Source organism: Homo sapiens, chromosome 8 (genome assembly GCF_000001405.40).
Source record: "Homo sapiens chromosome 8, GRCh38.p14 Primary Assembly".
Lineage (NCBI taxonomy): Eukaryota > Metazoa > Chordata > Mammalia > Primates > Hominidae > Homo > Homo sapiens.
In genome coordinates, this window is record NC_000008.11 from 144,329,094 (window position 1) to 144,349,554 (window position 20,461).

At 60.3% G+C, this 20,461-nt stretch overlaps 1 protein-coding gene across 2 annotated transcripts, besides 9 other annotated features; it reads right to left on the reverse strand.

The window, feature by feature from the left end:
* On the reverse strand, positions 1,472 to 7,389 carry SCRT1 (scratch family transcriptional repressor 1). 2 transcript variants are annotated; one of them, NM_031309.6, is made up of 2 exons: positions 6,962 to 7,389; positions 1,472 to 5,023 (listed from the first exon to the last, which is right to left on the reverse strand). In NM_031309.6, the coding sequence occupies exons 1-2, from the start codon at positions 7,074 to 7,076 to the stop codon at positions 4,092 to 4,094; spliced, it is 1,047 nt and encodes a 348-aa protein (NP_112599.2). In that variant the 5' UTR covers positions 7,077 to 7,389; the 3' UTR covers positions 1,472 to 4,091. The 2 variants fall into 2 exon arrangements, with proteins under 2 accessions (NP_112599.2, XP_024303059.1); XM_024447291.2 differs by lacking the exon at positions 6,962 to 7,389 and adding an exon at positions 5,894 to 6,098.
* Positions 2,770 to 3,059: a silencer, noted in NCBI's record as "silent region_19674". NCBI's record gives its function as "represses an Ori minimal core promoter by ATAC-STARR-seq in GM12878 lymphoblastoid cells {active_cell/tissue: GM12878}" and the evidence as "EXISTENCE:reporter gene assay evidence [ECO:0000049][PMID:35858748]".
* Positions 2,770 to 3,483: a biological region, named in NCBI's record as "H3K4me1 hESC enhancer GRCh37_chr8:145555531-145556238".
* Positions 2,775 to 3,483: an enhancer, noted in NCBI's record as "H3K4me1 hESC enhancer chr8:145555531-145556238 (GRCh37/hg19 assembly coordinates)". NCBI's record gives its function as "activates a minimal SCP1, AML or CMV promoter by ChIP-STARR-seq in naive H9 embryonic stem cells {active_cell/tissue: H9 hESC(naive)}" and the evidence as "EXISTENCE:reporter gene assay evidence [ECO:0000049][PMID:30033119]".
* Positions 3,220 to 3,269: an enhancer, noted in NCBI's record as "active region_28095". NCBI's record gives its function as "activates an Ori minimal core promoter by ATAC-STARR-seq in GM12878 lymphoblastoid cells {active_cell/tissue: GM12878}" and the evidence as "EXISTENCE:reporter gene assay evidence [ECO:0000049][PMID:35858748]".
* Positions 3,484 to 4,192: an enhancer, noted in NCBI's record as "H3K27ac-H3K4me1 hESC enhancer chr8:145556239-145556947 (GRCh37/hg19 assembly coordinates)". NCBI's record gives its function as "activates a minimal SCP1, AML or CMV promoter by ChIP-STARR-seq in naive H9 embryonic stem cells {active_cell/tissue: H9 hESC(naive)}" and the evidence as "EXISTENCE:reporter gene assay evidence [ECO:0000049][PMID:30033119]".
* Positions 4,193 to 4,900: an enhancer, noted in NCBI's record as "H3K27ac-H3K4me1 hESC enhancer chr8:145556948-145557655 (GRCh37/hg19 assembly coordinates)". NCBI's record gives its function as "activates a minimal SCP1, AML or CMV promoter by ChIP-STARR-seq in naive and primed H9 embryonic stem cells {active_cell/tissue: H9 hESC(naive and primed)}" and the evidence as "EXISTENCE:reporter gene assay evidence [ECO:0000049][PMID:30033119]".
* Positions 5,804 to 6,419: an enhancer, noted in NCBI's record as "H3K4me1 hESC enhancer chr8:145558559-145559174 (GRCh37/hg19 assembly coordinates)". NCBI's record gives its function as "activates a minimal SCP1, AML or CMV promoter by ChIP-STARR-seq in naive H9 embryonic stem cells {active_cell/tissue: H9 hESC(naive)}" and the evidence as "EXISTENCE:reporter gene assay evidence [ECO:0000049][PMID:30033119]".
* Positions 6,543 to 6,729: a silencer, noted in NCBI's record as "fragment chr8:145559298-145559484 (GRCh37/hg19 assembly coordinates)". NCBI's record gives its function as "represses an EF-1alpha promoter that drives an FKBP-Casp9 reporter gene in an ReSE screen in phorbol 12-myristate 13-acetate-treated (for megakaryocytic differentiation) K562 erythroleukemia cells {active_cell/tissue: K562(+PMA)}" and the evidence as "EXISTENCE:reporter gene assay evidence [ECO:0000049][PMID:32094911]".
* Positions 14,184 to 14,325: a silencer, noted in NCBI's record as "fragment chr8:145566939-145567080 (GRCh37/hg19 assembly coordinates)". NCBI's record gives its function as "represses an EF-1alpha promoter that drives an FKBP-Casp9 reporter gene in an ReSE screen in phorbol 12-myristate 13-acetate-treated (for megakaryocytic differentiation) K562 erythroleukemia cells {active_cell/tissue: K562(+PMA)}" and the evidence as "EXISTENCE:reporter gene assay evidence [ECO:0000049][PMID:32094911]".

The following is a 20,461-nucleotide window of genomic DNA, read 5'->3' on the forward strand; positions in this document are numbered from 1 at the left end:
GCCCTGCCCAGACAGGCCCTATACCCTGGGATCTAGGGTGAGGGGAATGGTCAGGGTAGGTGAGGTTGGTTGGGGACAAGGGTGTGTATGGCTGGGTCATCGAGGAAAGCATGATGCAGATCACCCTGCTGGGGGCAGCAACAAATGAGGGGGCCCAAGCCCGAAGCGAGTTGCCTTCCAGGGCTAGTGGAATAAAGGGCTGGAAGTGGGTTGGGGCCTCAGGCTGATCCCAGGGCCTAGGGGCCATGGGTGGGCCAAGAAGGCCTGTGAGAAGCAAGGGTCCCAGGAGAGTTCACAGCCAGTGGTGGTCTATGGCCTGTGCTGCTCATTCAGAGGGAAACTTGTGTCTGTGGCTGGGAGGAACTGGGGGGTCGAGCTCATCCCAGGCCTCAGGGAGGCCACCTCCATCCTTCCACCCACTCTACGCATCAGAATCCTGGAGAAGTAGAAACAGCCAGTCGCTGTTGGAGTCCTTTGGAAGGAGTGAGGCTAGGAGCCTTCCTCCTGGCCATTGCTGTCTGCCATTGTCATTGCTGGTAGTGCTCTCCCAAAGAGAGCACCCACCTGCACCACAGCTCCTCCAAGTGCCAGGCACACAGGCCATGACATGCTGCAGACCTGGTTCCCCTGCTCTCCACCCTAGTGGAGTCTGGGCAGGTCTGTCCCCTGTCCCTGCTAGGGTGTGGGCAGCTTTGCTGGCCCTGGATCTAGGACTGACCTGGTTTGAATGTATGTGCCCGAAGACTTTGGGCCTCTCGGCTCATGCCTGCCTACCTGGTTACCAGGGGACATTGCTGGGCAAAGGGTCCCTGTCCCTTATCTCCTCCACTACTCATTCTGTCTAGAGCCCTTGGGCGATGGTTGCAGAAGCCTCTCTGCCCCCTGGGCACCTCCTCCCTGGAACCGGTCCAACCCAGCTATCCATGGAGGCATCCGCAGACACTGGGGGAGCATATCTGGGAAGCCTGGGGGTCAGAATGTGGGCAGCAGGCCACAGGAAAAGGGCCAGACCTCGAACTCTCCACTGTCCCCATTTCCTGCAACAGCATCTCAGAGGGCTTGAGGTGGCTATCAGGCCTTCCATCACAGCATAAAGCTCCTTCAGGGAGAGAAGAGCGAAGGCACCCAGGCTGGGGAACAGCAGCTCCTACTATACCTACCCTGCCCACTCTGGTCCAACCGTGGGCTTGGCCTGACTTTAGACTGGAACCCCTTAGTGCTCCTGTTCCTGGTGTGGAGCAGATCCACCTACCCCAGGGGAAATGCCAACTACTTTGCCTTCAGACCTGATGCTCCTGTGGTTGGGCCTGCCAAGCCTGCCCTCCCCAGTGGAAGAAGAGGGCCGTCTTGTGAAAGGCCTCAGGCTGACCCTTGCAGCACCAGCCTCTGAGGTACTGCCAGACTGGGAAGACCCTCCCAGCCACCCAACAGCGTGGGCCCAGCCCAGGACACATCAGCCCGACACTCCAAATTCTATCAAGAGTGGCATTTATTCTCCTTGTGGAGGTGCGGTGCTCCGGGGAGCTGGTGCTATTGTGCTTAGGAAGGAGGTCTGTCCGTCCGTCCGTCTGTCCGGCCGGCCTGGCCCCAAATGGGGGCGGAAGAGGGGCACGGCCCGAGTAAAAATCCCGGCCTATTCCGGGTGGGAATATGTACAAGGCGGCGGGGCACAGGCGGGGGTGGGGGCGGGCGGGCCGGCGGCCGCAGCCCCCACCCGAGGGCCCCCGCACCTCGGGCCCTACTTGTAGAATCAGTACAAAATAGGTGCTACCTAAACGTTCCTTCTACCTGAATTCGCTAAGTCGGTTATTGTGCTGCTTAGTTATGGGGGCGGGAGGGGGCCCATGGCTTTCCACGGCGGCGGGGTGTAGGGGGAAGCAGGAGACCCTGACGGGCCCACAGCCCTCCAGCTTTCTCCTTAGGTAGGTAGACAGGAGTATGGGGTGGGGTGAGGTGGGGGCGCCTGTGTGTGCGTGTGCATGCGGCACAGGTGGGCAGGCCCCAGCTTGGGAGCTGTGCAGGCACCACACCTGGTTGTGTAGGGTGTTTGGATGTGGGCACTGCTGTGCAGAGCGGTGGGTCATCCTTGTGGGGGCAGCCACGCTTGCTGCTGGGGGTGAGGCTGGCCACACCATAGGCTACAGCTGGCACCTTCTTCTCCAGCCATGGCTCTGCCCCTGGCTGGACATGGCAGATGTGTGTTGGCCAGAGGATCAGAGAAGTGGCCACCTGTGTGGGGGCCCAGGAGCCCTGGATCTGTCCCCCTCAGCTGGAGTCAAAAGGCCTAACTCAAAGGTAGAGCCCAGTTGTGCCCAGCAGGGACTGGTTGAGGTGGGGAGGAGTGTAGGGGGCATGTGAACCTAGGGACCTGGTCTCTCTGCATCTGCCGTTCTTCCCTGGCCCACCCAAGCCGGTTGGACCCCTGTCCTGCAAACACACCTCCCAGCAGGTGGCTGCGCTCCTGGCGGACTCAGCAATTGGCCTGGCACATAGTAGGTGCTCAATGAACGGTCAGTGAATGATTAATGCCTGAAGGAGGGGTCTTGGGGGCAACCACCCCACCCCCGCCCATGGAACCATTACAGCCGCCGGGCTCTGCCGTGGGGGTCGGGGAGGGGTGGGGAGAAAGTCTGCGCGGCCGGCCCCGCGCAGCGTCCCTGATCTAGGGGCCTATGGGGTGGGTAGGGCGAGGGGATACCTGATTCTCAGTAACTCTAGAGGCGGCGGCAGCTTCGCATGCAGTGCGCATTATTGCTCTATAGTCGGCTTCGGACTACCTAAGAGGGAGGGGGAGCGGGCAGCCCCGGGTAGGATCGGGAGGAGGGGTGGGGCTGCATGCAGTGACGTCACAAAGGCGGCGGCCAATGGGGCGGGCCCTTGGGGCGGGGTCGCCGCCGAGGCTTTGGCATAGACGGGCGAAAGTTGGCAACCGAGTGGGGGCGGGGCCTGGGTCTCAGGGGCGGGGCCTGGGTCTCAGGGGAGGGGCCTGCCTCGGAGAGGCGGGGCCTGAGGCTCCCTAGAGGCTCCCAGCTAGGGGCGGGCCTCGGGGCGTGGAAAGTAATCCCGGACATCCCAGGCCCCCGGCGTCGGCGGGCAAGATGGGGGTTCAGCGCCCCCTCCCTGACCCGAGTGCAATCCGTTCATAAATAAAACGTACAAATACAGAAAAAGAAACCCGACGCGTCCGCAACCCCCCCAGGGGGCTTTACCCGCAAAGCGAAGACAGAGGTGTGTAGAGGGCAGCGCCCAGGCCTGCCTGCCGGCCCCGGGAATCCGTCCTCCAACACGAATGCCTGGGGTACGGGGGTGGGGGGTGGGGGCCCGGGGCAGGGCGGAAGCGGGGTCTGAGGAGGTCGGATAAGTCCATGCGATTCGATATGTGTCATTATTATTCGATATGGAGGACAGAGCCCGGGAAGCTGGGCTGGAAGAATTCGGATTTGGCAGAGGATGCGAGGCGAGGGTAGGAGGGCGGCTCCGACTGAGGCCCCAGAAGCAACCCGAGGGAGGGGGTGCCGCCGTCCGCCCCTCTCCCCGACCCACAACGCGTCTAACACTGCCGGGAGTTCCGCGAAGGCTGCTAGGCAGGGGCGTCCCTGCAGGCCCGCCCGCTCCTGCTCCGCCCCGGCCTGCTGCCGGGGAGGGGCCGGCTCCCTGGACGTCTGGGCCGCAGGCCCTGCGCTAGAAGGCTTGGGAAGGGGTGGGGAAGACCTGAGTCCCTGCGACGCGATCCAGGGGCGCAGAGGCGGGAGAAGGAGGGCGCTCCCTACCTCACCTCACCCCCGTCTTCAGAGACCCAACTCGGAGATGAGGTTCGGTTCTAGGTCTCGTCGACCCTATTGCTGGGAGAAAGCCGGGGGCACCCTGGAGGGGAGGGGAGGGGGCTCGGGGTGGGTCTCCCCTCGGGACCCTATTGCTTGAAGGGGCCGGCAAGGCCCCTGGCGGGCGGGGCGGGGTGGGACCGGGCCCCCCTCCCCCTATTGCTGTGAGGAGGGGCCCGCCCTCCGGCCCCTCCACCCGGACGCCAGCGAAGACTTCCCTGGGGGGCCGTATTGCTGAGAGCCGACCTGGCTGGGGGAGGCCCCGCCGCCCTAGGCCTGCACAGGGCTGAGCTGTGGCGGCGCAGGAGCCGCGGGGCCTCCGGCGCCGCCCTTGAAGCAGGCCGACTCGTAGTGCTTGTTGAGATAGGACTTGAGCGCGAAGCTCTTCTTGCAGCGCTTGCACTGGAAGTGCTTGAAGGCCGAATGCGTCTGCATGTGCGCGCGCAGGTTGGAGCGGTCGGCGAAGGCCTTGCCGCAGTGCGCGCAGCCGAAGGGTTTCTCGCCGGTGTGCGAGCGCATGTGGCCCTGCAGCAGCCAGGGCCGCGAGAAGGCTTTGCCGCACACGCCGCACTTGTGGCGCAGGTCGTGCGTGAGCAGGTGCATGGCCATGGCCGGCATGGACACGTACACCTTGCCGCACGTCGGGCAGCGCCGCGCCAGCTGGCTGTCCAGGCTGCGGTGCGTCTGCTTGTGGCGGCTCAGGTTCGACGACGTGGCGTATGTTTTGCCGCACTCGCCGCACGCGTGCCGGCCGCCAGCACCTGCGGCCCCTGGCCCCGCGCGCGCCTCGGTGCCTGCCCCCGCGCGCGTGCCGCCCCGGCCCCCCGGCCCGGATCCCAAGCTGCGCCCGCCCGCCCCGCCCCCGCCTCCGGCGTCGCCGTCGGGGGCCGCCGCCGAGGCTGTGGAGGGAGCGGCGGCAGCGCCGGCATTGGAAGCCTTACGCCGCGAGCGCCCGTCGGTGATGAAGAAGGCGTCCGCCGCGTAGCCCTCGCTGACGGCCGCGTCGCCGTTGATGTAGCCGCCCGCAGCGGTGGCCAGCTCCGGGCGCGGGGTGGGCGGCGGCGCAGACCCTGCAGCCGCCGGACCCAGCTCTCCACGCACAGCTGCTGCGTACATGGGCTCCGGCGACGGCCCTTTGAGCAGCGCAGCCTCGGCGTCGCCATCGTAGACGGACGAGGGCCCCACGTAGTCGCTGAGGTACCCTGCGGGCGGAGGCGGACGGACAGCGGGAAGGGAATGGGGCGGCGGCAGGACACACACGGGGGATGGGGGGGCGGGAGACAGCAGACGCGGACCGGGAGACCCGGGTCCGGGAGAGAGGCGAACAGGGAGGAGGACAAAGGAGAGGAGGCCGAGGGACCGCCGGGCAGGGAGGATGGAGACAGCAGGGAGGGGAAGAGAGGGGAGGAGAGGATGAGACAGGGCCGGGCCACGCTCCGCCCCCGCCGCCCCACCCTCGCAGAGAGGAGGAGAGAGGCGCGTCTTCGGGCGCGGCTGCCCCCCTTCCGCGGAGCCTCAAGGTCAGGGGGGAGGGGCGGCGCTTCCCTCTCCCTCCTCCCCCACCCACCCTCCCCTCCCCCTCGGGTTCTCCCCACTTCAGCAGTTTTCCCTGATTATGCAACACACTGCAGACCCGCGGCGCACAAAGCCAGGACTGCCGGCCCAGGGACCCCGTCTGTCCCACCTCTCCGGGGTCCTGGCCGGCTCTCCCTCTGGCCTGCAGAACGTGCGCTCCATTTTGATGTTGACCCCCTCTGGCCTTCTGGTTCCTCCAACAAGCCCTGAAGACGTCTCCCTCCCCCAGTTCCCTCCGGCCTCACCAGCACCTCCCTCAGCTCTCCGGCCACCCACTGGACTTGACCCTGCCCTCCCTGCTCCTCCATGCACTCTGCTTCTCCTCCGAACTCCCTCTCACCATCCTGCACCCTTGGGTCCTACCCTGTTCAACATTGCCCTCTCCTGCTCACACCCTAACCCCTTTCAGGGCCTTCCCAAGCCCCTGAACTGTGCAGAGAGGGCCAGGGCGTCCACTTTCACAGGGACGAGCTGCAGGAGGGCAGCATCACTTATACCGGTAGCTGCAGTTGCTCCCCAGGCACAAGATGGATCTCATAACCTCAAAGTCACAAATGCACGCCCCTCGCGACGCTCTGCCTCCTTCAGGGCTACACCCAGTCTCCCAGCATGATCAGCCCTTGTGTGCCCTCACAGGGTGGGCTGCACACTGATGTGCCGAACTCACCACCTCCTCACTCACGCAGGGTCACACATGCAGTCACCCCGGACACACTCTCAAGTCACATGGTGCACAGCGGCCTCAGAGTCACATGGTCCCATGTAGTGGCACACAGGCAAGCACACACACACACAGGGTCACACACAAGCGCACACGGTCACATGGCCACACACAGTCACATGGACCCACACAGGCTCACACTCCTGCAGGTCACACTTGCTCTGCCACCCCATGCTGCTGGCACTCCTGTCCCCCTCTCCTGCATGCTGACAGTTGTCCTTGAACTTGGGCACCCTTACACAAAGAGCCTCCCCCTGCCTCCCACACCTTGGGCGTCCCTTGCTCACAGCCTCCTCCCTGCTTCCTCTCCCTGACCCAGGCTTCAGGGAAGAGACTGCTGCTGCCTCTGCTGGCCCTCTGCTCTGACAGGTGGGCGGCCCTGTTGGACCCCCTGCCTACTCCCTGGAGCTCCCTGCATTCCCCAGCTAACCCTAGCAGGTGTCCTGGTGCAGTCAAGGAAGAGGAGAGGGTGGCGAGGCGGCCCTGGTCTCTTGAGTGTAGGTCTGTGTGTGCCGGCATGGCTGGGTCCCGTCATGGCAGCGCCCATGCGGCTGTGTCTGTCCCAGCATGGGTCAGGATGTGGGTCCATGTGTGCGTTTGGGTACCTCAGTTCCTGATCCTCTTCCCCACCCTCTGTCCAACGTCGACACTCTCCCTGCCCAGCCTTGGCCTCTGTGTTCCCCTTCCTCCCCTCTACCGTCCAGGCTCCAGCCACAGACTCTTGCCGTTTCTGGTTCCCTTCAGTCTGTTTCCCCGGGCCCTGCCCTCCGCCCCCACACTCTGGCCCTCCACCGCTTCCAGCAAAGCCCCAGGCCCCGCGCCCTGGTCTCAGACCAGCGCTCACCTTTATCGTGCAGTGGCGCGCCGAGGTCGCTGCGGGCGCGTCCGTAGGCGCTCTCCAGGTCGGCCGAAGAGAACGCGTCAAGTTTGACCTTCTTGACCAGGAAGGACCTGGGCATGATTCCTGCGGGGCTCCGGCGCTGTGGGCCTGCGGAGCCGGGGCTTGGGGGGGCTGCGGCGGCAGGGCCCCGTCACCATCCGAGGAGCGGCGGAGGCAGCGCGGGTCCCCACTCTGGCCTTTGGATGCTGCCGCGCGAGTGGTGTCCTCTCTCCTTGCTGCCCTGCGTCTCCTCCGTTGCCCCTCCGGATCCCTCTTCTTCCTCCTTCCTTCAATCCTTCCTTCCTTCCTTCAATCCTTCCTTCCTTCTCTCCTCTTCTCTCCTCTCCTCTTCCTTCCTTCCCTCCTCTGGTCCCGGCTTCCCAGCCCGCAGTGCCGCCCCTGGACAGGCGGGGGAGGAGGCTGGGGGGGCGGAGAGGGGGGGAGCGGCTCCGTCCCGGGCCTGGAGGCTGCGAGTGGGTGCAGGGCTGGCCCGGCTCGGTGGCCCCCTTCCCCTCCCCCCCCCCGCCGCCGCGGCGGAGCCTCAGTCAGCGGCCCCCCATGCCCCCGGGGGCGGCGGCGCCGGGCCCGGAGAACGCGGTGGCAGCGGCAGCGCCGGCAGCTTCAGCACCGCGGCCAGCGCCGGCCTGGGCAGCACCGCGGCCAGCGCCCGGGCGCGCTCAACCGGCGCGGGCGGAGAGGGGCGGTCCGCGGGGGTTTGGCCGCCGGGCAGGGGTCCTCGGCGGGGGTCTCTGGGAGGCTTGCTTTATTGTTCTGCAGCCGGAGCGAGCGGCAGTGGCGACGGCGGCGGCGGCGGCGGCGGCGGCGGCGGGCGGGGGGCGGGGGTCCTGGGGGGAGGGGTGCGCAGGGAGGGCGGGCCGAGGGAGGGAGGGAGGGAGGGACAGGGGCTCCGGGGGCGGGGCTCGGCGCTCGGACTGCTCCTGGGCCCGGCCTCCAGAGCCCGCAGCCGCCTCTGCCTGCGGCCCGGCCCAGCCTCTGGCTTTTAAAGCCCAGGAGCTGGGGGAGGGGGAGGGAGGTGGGGGAGAGGCCGGCGGAAATGGCTGCGCTGGGCCGAGCCCCGGCCTGGGTCTCCTGGGAGGGGTCCCGGGGATGCCTCAGCCTGCGCGAGTGGGGAATTCCCCCGCGCGGCTCGGGGAACCGCGGCCCGGCAGCCAGCAGCATTGTCGGGCGTGTGGGGAGAAATGGAGCCAGGCCTGGGACCCAAGCGCCCCGGACTCGGGGTCTTGTGGGGAGGAACGTAGGGAGGACCCCAGTCCCGCCTGCCTCGCTCGGGGCCTGGGGCGCGGGATCTGCGGGGGCGGGCGGGGGAGGCGGGAGCCGAAGGAGCAAGTGCTGAGGCAGCGAAAGCGCAGCGCGCGCCCTGTGCCGCAGTGGCTCCCGCCGCTCGGTCACCCCGGCTGACCCCGTGCACGCTGGAGGGGCCTACCCGCCCCCGCCTCTCTCCCCCCGGGCGGGTGTGCGGCGCAGCGGCGTCGCTGCGAGCCGGGTGTGGAGCTGGAGAGGGGCTGCCACGACCCTGCTCCAGAAATTCTGCTGCTTTGGGGGTTTTCCGCCCTTCCGCGCGGCTGCAGCTCCCCACGGCAGCCCCGCAACCAGGCGGATAACCCTTTCCTCGGCCGCCCGCCCAGCGTTTGCAGCCCCCATGACGTCAGGCTCAGCGGCCAATGGCGGGGCGCCGGGCGCGGGGGCTCCGGGGCTCCGGGCCGCACAATGGCCGCGCGCGGGTGCCTCTGTCCCCAATTAGGGCCTGGCGCCGCCATTGTCCCCTCACCCGCCCCGCCCGGTGGTCCGGGTCTACGGGCTCCGAGCGCGCTCCCACGCGCCCCGCTGCCGCTGGGGACCAAGGTCGCGGGGGCGGCCCCGGGGAGCGTCCGGGCGCGGGTGTGCCGGGAGCGCGTGCGATACTGGAGCGCGCTCGTTGCGGCGCAAAATGACCTTGCGCGGGGCGGACCCGCGGACAGCGGCTGGGAGCGCGCGGCGGGCGGGCCCCGGGGAAGGCGGCCTGCGGGGGCGCGCTGCACTTGCTGAGCTCAGCGCCCCGCCCCCGGCCGCCCGGCCCCGCGCGGAGCCCGGGTGGGTGTGACCCGGCCCGCCCGCGCGGGGGGTGCGGCGGAGACCACGGACCCGCTTTGTGCCAGCCGCCCCGGCCCCGGCAGCGGCGGGACATTCATCTTGCGTGGCAGGCGCTCCCGAGGGGTGGGGGCGGGGCGCGGCCGCCCCCTTATCTCCGAGCGGCAGCCGGCTAGGCTCGCGGTGGGGGCGGGGGCGGGATCCCCCTCGGCCGCGCCGCGCGGGTCCTGGCTCCCTCCCAGGGGGGGGCCGGGCCAAGGCACAGCCGGAGGCGTGGGGCCAATTAACATTTTGATTGCGGGACTGGGGGGCCATCTGGACCGAGGCCTAATTACCCGGCAGACCCTCGGGGCGCCGGCGGGACGTGCCAGGCGCGATCCCCTCATGACCCAGCGCTCACCGCCTTCTCCCGGACCCTGTCCCCGCCCTCAACTCTGTCCTTCGACTCCATCCTTGGCCTCCTCCGTTCGTCCTAGTATTCTTGCCTCTCTGTCCCCACTCTCCGGGTCCTCCGACCCCCAACTCTGTCCCCTTCCCCCATTCTTCCGTTCGTCTGCCCTGTCCCCCCACCCCCCGTTTCTCTCCTCTGCTCCTCCCACTTCGTCCCTTCTCCCCGCGCCATTCCTGTCGCCCTGCACTCACCCCGTTTCCTTGTCCCTCCATCCACCCTCTCAGCCCCTTCCTCTCCTGCCTCTGTGCACATACCTGCCTCTCTCTGTCAAGCTCCTCGCCCCTTTTGCCCCCAGTCCCCTTGACGGAAGAGGCATCACAGCGGCACACATGTGTCCCGTGGCCAGGCGCTCCCGCGGGAACCATTGGGGCGGCCCTTGCTCCCGCTCGGGTGGAGCCCGCAGCCCCCCGGGACCCCTGGCGGGGAGGGACAGCTGGGTCCAGGCTTTGGCCATCAGTCTGCACCGACCGGGGTGCGGAGCGCACATGCGACCCGGGCGCAATTACTTGGGCCTCCTCGCCCCGCCCCCCCACCAGCATCCTGATCCCCCCCCTTCCCCCTCACCCCCAGCATCAGGAGGTCGCTGTGGTGCCCCAGTCCTGGGCCCCAGCTAGGAGAGGCTGAAGGAGGACAGTGGACGATTCTCACGCTTTGGAAAAGTGTCAGCCCTCCTGCATGGGAGGCCTCCCCGAGTCTCTTACTGAGAGCTGGGGCCTTGGGAGGCTTTGTTGCAGGAGAGGAGATGGTCAGGGTTCCCAGGCAAGGCTGCCTTGGTCCCCAGCCAATTAAAGTCCTGGTCCCCCTAGCCACTCTCTGCAGAGCCCCTCTTGGGGAGTCTCTTCCTGCCGCCCTGATGCAAGCCCCAGTTCTGCCCCCTTGTCCCTTCGGGTGGGTGCAGTGTTGGCTCTGAACCCTCCGTGCCCTCTGCTGCTGGCCGCACCTCTCCCTGCCCCTCCCAGGCCCCATGTTGTGGAAAGGTCAGCCATAAGGGTCAGGGGTCCCCACTCTTGTGTCTCCAGCACCCCACCCTCAGCAAAGCCAGAGCCCCTGGTGTGCCCACCCTCAGATCCTGCAGTTGCATTCTCACCCACCCCTGCCCTATTGAGGCTCCAACCCAGGAAATAAGTGGACAGCCCAGATCCGAGGGTCCACCCTGCTGGACAGAAGCGATGGGCAGAGAATAGGGTGTTGAATGGAGGTGACAGGTATGGGATGCAGTTACTGGTGGTGATGGAGCACAGTTGGGTTAGAAGATGAGGACATTGACTTGGAGAAGAGATCAAGGCTTGGAAGGGACAGGCAGTCTGCAGTGGTTCATCCACGAGAACATTAGACCACCAGGAATTCAGGCAGCGATGGGTGGGGACGAAGCCATAGTGAGAGCTGCTGCTGGGTGGTTGGTGGCCAATGACACGTGCTCCAGCTGGGACGCTCAAGGAGAGGAGGGAATTGGGGTCTGCAGGCCTCAGCCAGGAGCACAGGAGTATTTGGGGGAGAGAGAAAGCAGCCCCCAGAGAGGACTGTGGGGAGGGACAGCATGGAAGGAGGGCCCTCAGCAGGGAGGACGTGGGGTCGCTGGGGATGGAGCCCCTGGGGAAGGTTTCAGGATGGGGGGTGGGTCTGTATTCCAAAATGGCTCTGGTGGGGTTGGGGGGTAGGCATGGGGACAAGGGCGTGAAGAGTGGCCCAGAAAAGCCGGTGGGCAGACTTGGTCCCTGCTGGGCAGGAGCTTTGGAGGACCCACAGGAGCAAGGTTGCAGCACAAGTGGAAATGTGCGTGTGAAAACCAGAAGCAGAGAGCGAGGGCAAGTGTCAGTGCCAGAAAACACCTGCACTAAACATAACAACAGGTTAACATTCTGATTGTCGGGAGAAATAACTGGTATAAATGAACTTTTTACAGAACAAAGATGCTGAGACTCCAAAGGGCTTAGCAGGTGATTGACTACAGAAGAAATAAGAGATCTTCTTAGGAATCACACACATGCTGGCTGGGTGCAGTGGCTCATCTGTAATCCCAGCACTTTGGGAGGCCAAAACGGGTGGATCACTTGAGGTCAGGAGTTCGAGACCAGCCTGGCCAACGTGGTGAAACCCCGTCTCTACTAAAAATACAAAAATTAGCTGGGCGTGGTGGCGCACACACCTGTAATCCCAGCTACTTGGGAGGCTGAAGCAGGAGAATTGCTTGAACCCGGGAGGCAGAAGTTCCAGTGAGCTGAGATTGCACCATTGCCCTCCATTGCACTCCAGCCTGGGCAACAGAGCTAGACTCTGTCTTTAAAAAAAAAAAAAAAAAAAAGGAATCAAAGACATGCAAATTAAAGGACAAAATGCAAATTTCAGGGTTTTTTCTTGTTTTATTACAGAAAATATGAAATATGCACAGATGTGCAGAGAGCCAGTTAATGCAGGTTCCCCTCTTGCCCAATAAGCACCTTCACTAAAGACCAGCCTATGGGTGGCTGGGCGCCTGTAATCCCAGCACTTTGGGAGGCTGAGGCGGGCAGATCATGAGGTCAGGAGATAGAGACCATCCTGACTAACACGGTGAAACCCCATCTCTACTAAAAATACAAAAGAAAATTAGCCGGGCGTCATGGCGGGTGCCTGTAGTCCCAGCTACTCAGGAGGCTGAGGCAGGAGAATGGCGTGAACCCAGGAGGTGGAGCTTGCAGTGAGCCAAGATCGCGCCACTGCACTCCAGCCTGGGCGACAGAGTGAGACTCCGTCTGAAAAACAAAAAACGACAAAAAAAACAGCCTATAGGCATCTTGCTTCCTCCCCGACTCCCTCATCATTTTGAAGCAAATCCCAGACATGGCATCACAAAACGCCATCTTTGGCGGGGCGCAGTGGCTCACACCTGTAATCCCAACACTCTGGGGGGCTGAGGTGGGTGGATCACTTGAAGTCAGGAGTTTGAGACCAGCCTGGCCAACATGGTGAAACCCCGTCTCTACTAAAAATACAAAAATTGGCTGGGCATGGTGGCTCGTGCCTGTAATCTCAGCACTTTGGGAGGCCAAGGTGGGTGGATCACCTGAGGTCTGGGGTTTGAGACCAGCCTGGCCAACATGGAGAAACCCCATCTCTACTAAAAATACAAAAAATTAGCCAGACGTGGTGGCAAGCGCCTGTAATCCCAGCTACTTGGGAGGCTGAGGCAGGAGAATCGTTTGAACCAGAGTGGCAGAGGTTGCAGTGAGCTGAGACTGCGCCACTGCACTCCAGCCTGGGCAACAGAACGAGACTCTGCCTCAGCAACAACAACAACAAATCATACACACACACACACACACACACAAAATTAGCCAGGTGTAGCCGGGTGTAGTGCTCATGCCTGCAATCCCAGCACTTTGGGAGGCCAAGGCAGATGGATCAGGAGGTCAGGAGTTCAAGACCAGCCTGGCCAACATGGTGAAACCATGTCTCTACTAAAAATACAAAAATTAGCCGGGTGTGGTGGCGGGCGCCTGTAATCCCAGCAACTTGGGAGGCTGAGGCAGAGAATTCCTTGAAATCAGGAGGAATTCACTGCAACGGAGGTTGCAGTGAGCCAAGATTGCACCACTGCACTCCAGCCTGGGCAACAGAGCGAGACTCTGTCTCAAGAAAAAACAAAAAACAACACGGCCATTTTCTCTTGATAAAGACATGAGTGCTGCACATGAGCGAGGGTGGAGGTGCAGCTAAGGAGCTGCAGAGCTGGGCCTCAGGCTCCTACTCGGGCCCAGCCCAGCTTGAGCTGGGGGTGCCTGGAGACAGGATTGGACCCCGCCTCCTTCTTGCTTTCAGCAGGGCAACCCCTCAGTCTCCTGTGTCCCCCTGGCTGCATAGCAGAGAGGCCAGCAGCCCTGAAGGGGCCCAAATCCCACCCCCTTCCAAGAGGTCCAACTGCCTGACCTGCTCAGACCTTCAGCTTTAGGCAGGGGTCACTTAATTTCTCTAAACTGGAGATATAATTTTCTTTTTTTTTTTCTTTTCTTTTCTTTTTTTTTTTTTTTGAGACAGAGTCTTGCTCTTGCCCAGGCTGGAGTGCAGTGGTGCAATCTCGGCTCACTGCAAGCTCCGCCTCCCGGGTTCACACCATTCTCCTGCCTCAGCTTCCTGAGTAGCTGGGACTACAGGCGCCCGCCACCACGCCTGGCTAATTTTTTTGTATTTTTAGTAGAGACGGGGTTTCACCGTGTTAGCCAGGATGATCTCGATCTCCTGACCTTGTGATCCACCCGCCTCGGCCTCCCAAAGTGCTGGGATTACAGGCGTGAGCCACCGCACCCGGCCAACTGAAGATACAATTTTCATATGTAAAATATCTTAAATGTAGAATTCCATCAGCTTTAAAAACACATATTCTCTTGTAACCCACTCACCTACAGAGACACAGGATACTTCCATGCCCTACAGGATGGTCCTTCGGGGCAGGTATAAAGTTATAAAGGAGACATTGAGAAGAGGCTAGGGGAACCTGAGAGTGAGGCCTGGGAGGAGGCAGAGACGGGGGATGTGAGGAGGAAAGAGGTGGGGGAGGAAGAGGCAGGGGCGGAGGAGGTGACTCCAGAGGAGGGGGAGGAAAGGGCTTCCACCAGAGGGCAGCCGGGCCCCACCTAAGCACTGCAAGCACTCCTGGCAGCTGGGCTCACTTCTTTCCTAGCAGGGTGATATGAGGAGGGCTCTGGAAGTGGCCGGGGGGCACTGACCTGCCTGCACAGTGGAGGCCCAGTGTCGACGGCCTCCTATGCAGCCTCCTAATTCCTGATGCAACATGAGCCTCCCCACCTTCACCTTCCTGGACCTGCCCGTGGTGTGGCTTCCTGCTGTCCCAGCTGCTGGGAGTCTTGTCACCAGCAGCCTTGAGGGATGGCTGCAGCTGCAGAGCCCCTCGCCCAGGGCCACACCCTCCTAGGGGTGGCCACACCTGGTGACTGATGGAGGCCCTGGCATTCCTGCCTGAGGCAGGACAACTTTGATGGGCGATCTCGGCTCAGGCCTTTGGGGGCCAGCAGGGGCTGTTGCTCCTGGGTGGCCATCACTCCTCCCTCGGCCTCATCTGACCTCCTCGCCCTCCCTCCACAGATGTCCATCCCTAGGGCAGTCTTGTAAATGTCCTAGAGCTCCAAACTCAGGCTCAGAGTCCCTTCCCAGAGCTTTATTCTGCTCCCTCCAATGGAATGTGATCTTTCCAGCCAAGTTCACACTCCTGTCCCCACTTCCACCCCCTAGCCCCCATGCTCCCCTACCCCAGGTTCCCTGAAGGCATTTGGGCCTGATGGTCCTCTCCACACTCTCCTGTTGGCTGAAAAGTCCCTGGGGACAGTGCCTCTGCAACAACCGTTTCTACTCCTCACCCTGGCCCAGCCGTCCTGGGCTTCTTCTCATGCCTATTCACCCTGCAGGGGGGCCCAAGGCTCCTTCCAGGAACCCCATCATCTCCTTGCCCTCTCCCACCCTCAGCTGCTCTACTCTGGTACTCTCACTCCAACACCTCAAACTTAGTAGAGCCTTCAGCCCCACCACGTCTCTCTGCCTATGACCACTGCTCTCATGGAGCCCCAGGAATTGTTCCTCCGGGCATAGCTCTTGAGGTGCCCCCTCCGATATTGACCTGGGTCCGGCTGTGGGCATCAGCAAGAATGGTGCAAACCAAGGCTGTGACCACGCACACCGTGGGGTGACTCCAGAGCTCTCGCTCACTTTGGGATGCCTGCAGCTACGGCTGGCAAGAGCTCCGACGGGGCTGTTGAGGACAGGCCACGCAGAGCGTTTCTGTGGGACAGGTGCTACAGATGGTCCAGCCCCAGCAGACTTCCCAGCCAAATGCAGTCACACAAGTAACCCCAGCTACAATGCTTGGGGTAGAACTGCCCCATGGAGCCAGTCAGCCTGAACGATTGGATAAATAATAAGTTGCTACTGGCTGGGCACGGTGGCTCATGCCTGTAATCCCAGCACTGTGGGAGGCCGAGGCGGACAGATCACCTAAGGTCAGGCATTCAAGAGCAGCCTGGCCAATATGGTGAAACCCTGTCTCTACTAAAACATACAAAAATTAGGCCAGGTGCAAGTGGCTCACACCTGTAATCCCAGCACTTTGGGAGGCCGAGGTGGGCAGATCACCTGAGGTTGGGAGTTTGAGACCAGCCTGACCAACATGTTGAAGCCCTGTCTCTACTAAAAATACAAAATTAGCCAGGCGTGGTAGTGCATGCCTGTAATCCCAGCTACTTGGGAGGCTGAGGCAGAAGAATCACTTGAACCTGGGGGGTGGAGGTTGCAGTGAGCCAAGATGGCCACTGCACTCCAGCCTGGGCAACAAGAGCGAAACTCCATCTCAAAAAAAAAAAAAAAAAAAAATTAGCCGGGCACAGTGGCTCACACCTGTAATCCCAGAACTTTGGGAGGCTGAGAGAGGTGGATCACCTGAGATCAGGAGTTCAAGACCAGCCTGGCCAACATAGTGAAACCCCATCTCTACAAAAATACAAAAAAATTAGCTGGACGTGGTGGTGGATGCCTATAATCCCAGCTACTAGGGAGGCTAAGGCAGAAGAATCGCTTGAGCCTGGAAGGCAGAGGTCTCAGTGAACCGAGATCGTGCCATTGCATTCCAGCCTGGGCAACAAGAGCAAAACTCTGTCTCAAAAACAAAACAAAATAAAAATTAGCGGGGCATGGTGGCACATGCCTGTAATCACAGCTACTTGGGAGGCTGAGGCAGGAGAATTGCTTGAACCAGGAAGGCGGAGGTTGCAGTGAGCCGATATCGCACCACTGTGCTCCAGCCTGGGTGACAGAGCAAGACTCCATCTCAAAAAGAAAAAAAAAAGTTGCTACTAGCGTCTACATTTTACACAGCAGATAGGTGACTGAAATAGAAGTTGGCAGCTGGAAGCGGGGTGCTGCTGGACCAAATACCTAAAATCAGTGGCACTGGCTCCAGGACTGGGTGGCATGGCAAGCAGAGGCCTGAGGAGACTGTCAACAGAGACTGGGAATGAAGGAGCCCACGAGGAGGATGGAGGAAGATGAGCCGTTGTCAGCAGGAGTCCGGAGAGGCGTTGCCACAGCAACCTGGAGACACAGCTGCACCTGATGCTGGGTTCTGGGCCACGAGATGCAGGCAAAAATGTGGAGGGGCCTGGTATGGGATGAAATGCCCAGCCACCAAATAAGAATGTGTTGAAGCCCTAATCCACAGTGTCTCAGAATATCTCAGAATATGACAATATTGGGAAATAGGCCCATTGCATGCAGATTTAATTAGCTCAAGTGATGGTGGAGTAGGGTGGCCTTTTTTTTTTTTTTTTAAAGACAGGGTCAGCCAGGCGAGGTGGCTCACGCCTATAATCCTAGCACTTTGGGAGGCCGAGGTGGGCAGATCACCTGAGGTCAGCAGTTCGAGACCAGCCTGGTCAACATAGTGAAACCTCGTCTCTACTAAAAATATAGAATTAGCCAGGCGTGGTAGCTCATGCCTGTACTGTAATCCCAGCTACTCAGGAGGCTGAGGCAGGAGAAATGCATGAACTCAGGAGGCGGAGGTTGCAGTGAGCTAAGATCACACCATCACACTCCAGCCTGGGCAACAAGAGAGAACCTCCATCTCAAAAAAAAACAAAAACAAAAAGGCTGGGCTTGGTGGCTCACGCCCGGAATCCCAGCACTTTGGGAAGCCAAGGCAGGTGGATCACAAGGTCAGGAGATCAAGACCATCCTGGCTGACATGGTGAAACCCCGTCTCTACTAAAAATACAAAAAAAATTAGCTGGGCGTGGTGGTGGGTGCCTGTAGTCCCAGCTACTCGGGAGGCTGAGGCAGGAGAATGGCGTGAACCTGGAAGGTGGAGCTTGCAGTGAGCCGAGATCGCGCCACTGCACTCCAGCCTGGGCGATAGAGTGGGACTCCATCTCAAAAAAAAAAAAACAGGGTCTCATCCTGTTGTCCAGGCTGGAGTGCAGTGGTACAATCACAGCTCACTGCAGCCTTGACCTCTTGGGTTCAAGTGACCCTGCCACCTCAGCCACAGGGGCATGTCACTGTATCCAGCTAATTTAAAAAAGTTGGCTGGGCATGGTGGCTCACGCCTGTAATCCCAGCACATTGGGAGGCCGAGGCAGGCAGATCACTTGAGGTCAGGAGTTCAAGACCAGCCTGGGCAACATGGTGAAACTCTGTCTCTACTAAAAAAAAAAAAAAAAAAAAAAAAAATACAAAAATTAGCCCAGCCTGGTAATGCATGCCTGTAATCCCAGCTACTGGGGAGACTGAGGCAGGAGAATCACTTGAACCCAGGAGGTGGAGATTGTAGTGAACTGGGATCACACCCAGCGCCCACCAGCCTGGGTAACAGATTGAGACTCCGTCTCAAAAAAAAAAATTTTTTTTTTTTGTAGAGACGAGGTATCACCATGTTGCCCAGGCTGGCTTGAACTCCTGGGCTCAAGGGAGCCTCCTGCCTTGTCCTGTCAAAGTGCTGGGATTACAGTTGTGAGCCACTGAGCCCGGCCTGTCTTCCATGCCTATGGTTCCTTTGTCACAGTTAAGACACCAACATTGGGCCGGGCGTGGTGGCTCACGCCTGTCATCCCAGCACTTTGGGAGGCCGAGGCGGGTGGATCCCCTGAGGTCAGGAGTTTGCGACCAGACTGGACAACATGGTGAAACCCCATCTCTGCTAAAAATATAAAAAAACTAGCATGGTGGTGGGTGCCTGAAATCCCAGCTACTCGGGAGGCTGAGGCAGAATTGCTTGAACTCAGGAGACGGAGGTTGCAATGAGCTGACACAGCACCACTGCACTCCAGTCTCAGTGACACAGTAAGACTCCGTTGCAAAAAAAAAAAAAAGAAAAAAAAAGAAACCAACCTTGATACATTACTGCTAACTCCAGGCTTTATTTGGATTTCACTAGTTTTTCCATCTACATCCTCTATCTGTTACAGAAATCAATTCAAGATACGACTTTGCATTTAGCTATCACGTCTCTTTAGTCTGTGGTCTGTGACAATTTATCAGTCTTTCCCTGTTTTTCATGATCTTGACAGTTTTGAGGAGCACTGCTCAATTTTATAGATTGAATGAGTCTTTGGTAAAATGTCCCTCAGTTGGGGTTTGTCTGATGTGCTCTCGTGATGAGGGTTTGGGGTGTGGGGAGGCTTCTCATTACATCACCGCAGGGCTCATGTGGCGTCACTGTGACATCACTGGTGAGGCTGACCTCAGTCACCTGGTTAACGTGGCATCTGCCAGATTCTTCCACTGTCAAGTTACTATTTTTCTTTTCTTTTCTTTTTTTTTTTTTTTTTGAGACGGAGTCTCGCTCTGTCTCCCAGGCTGGAGTGCAGTGGTGTAATCTCGGCTCACTGCAACCTCTGCCTTCCGGGTTCAAGCGATTCTCCTCCCTCAGCCTCCTGAGTAGCTGTGATTACAGGCAACTGCCACCATGCCCGGCTAATTTTCTATTTTTAGTAGAGACGGGATTTTGCCATGTTGGCCAGGTTGGTCTCGAACTCCCGACCTTGTGATCCACCTGCCTCGGCCTCCCAAACTGCTGGGATTATAGGCGTGAGCCACCACACCTAGCCCTTTTTTCTTTTCTTTTCTTTTCTTGAGACAGAGTTTCGCTCTTGTTGCCAAGGCTGGAGTGCAGTGGCGTGATCTGGGCTCACTGCAACCTCCACCTCCTGGGTTCAAGCGATTCTACTGCCTCAGCCTCCTGAGTGGCTGGGATTACAGGAGCCCACCACCTCGCCCAGCTAATTTTTGTATTTTTAGTAGAGATGGGGTTTCACCATGTTGGCCAAGCTGGTCTCGAACTCCTGAGCTCTGGTGATCCGCCCACCTCGATCCCCCAAAGTGCTGGGATTATAGGCGTGAGCCACCAGGCCCGGCCACCTACCCTTGTTTGACCCAACTAACTGCCTACTCCACACCTGCATCTAAGCAGCAAACCTTTTCCCTAGAAAAACAACCACATCCACTCACCCTTCACATGTGTGACACGCATCTCAACTGAGCACCCCACACTGCCTGACAATCTTACTATACTTTCCCTATCCAGTTACTCTCCTGCTCCCTGGGAAGACTATTTCACACCTCGTCTTCTTGACTTAAAACCTGCTAATCCCCTCCACCTTCAAAGCTAATAACCTTTTTTTTTTTTTTTGAGACAGAGTCTCACTCTGTCGCCCAGGTTGGAGTGCAGTGGCGCCATCTTGGCTCACCACAAGCTCCGCCTCCTGGGTTCACGCCATTCTCCTGCCTAAGCCTCCCAAGTAGCTGGGACTACAGGTGCCCACCACCACGCCCGGCTAATTTTTTTTTGTATTTTTAGTAGAGACGGGGTTTCACCGTGTTAGCCAGGATCTCCTGACCTTGTGATCCGCCCGCCTTGGCCTCCCAAAGTGCTGGGATTACAGGCGTGAGCCACTGCACCCGGCCAACCATTTTTTTTTTTAAGAGATGGGGTCTCACTATGCTGTCTAGCCTGGTCTCAAACTCCTGGGCTTAAGCAATTCTCTTGCCTCATCCCAGCCTCCCAAGCAGTTGAGACTACAGGTGTGCAGAACCGCATCTGGCTAATTTTTGTATTTTCTGTAGAGACAAGGTTCACTATGTTACCCAGACTGGTCTTGAACAGGAGTTCAAGCAGTCCACCTGCTTTAGCCTCCCAAAGTGCTAGCATCACAGGTGCAAGCCACAACGTTCAGCCTAATAATCTTATTAGTTAGAATCACACTTGCCAGCAACTGTTAGAAAACTCCAAATAGGCCGGGCGCGGTGGCTCATGCCTGTAATCCTAGCACTTTAGGAGGCCAAGGCAGGTGGATCAAATAGGCCGGGCACGGTGGCTCATGCCTGCAATCCCAGCACTTCAGGAGGCCAAGGCAGGTGGATCAAATAGGCCGGGTGCGGTGGCTCAT

Coding starts and splice junctions, on each gene's coding strand:
- SCRT1 (NM_031309.6), bottom strand. CDS start 7,076: ATGCCCAGGTCCTTCCTGGTCAAGAAGGTCAAACTTGACGCGTTCTCT. Junction 5,024..6,961: donor CGCGCCACTGCACGATAAAG/GTGAGCGCTGGT, acceptor CTCCGCCCGCAG/GGTACCTCAGCGACTACGTG.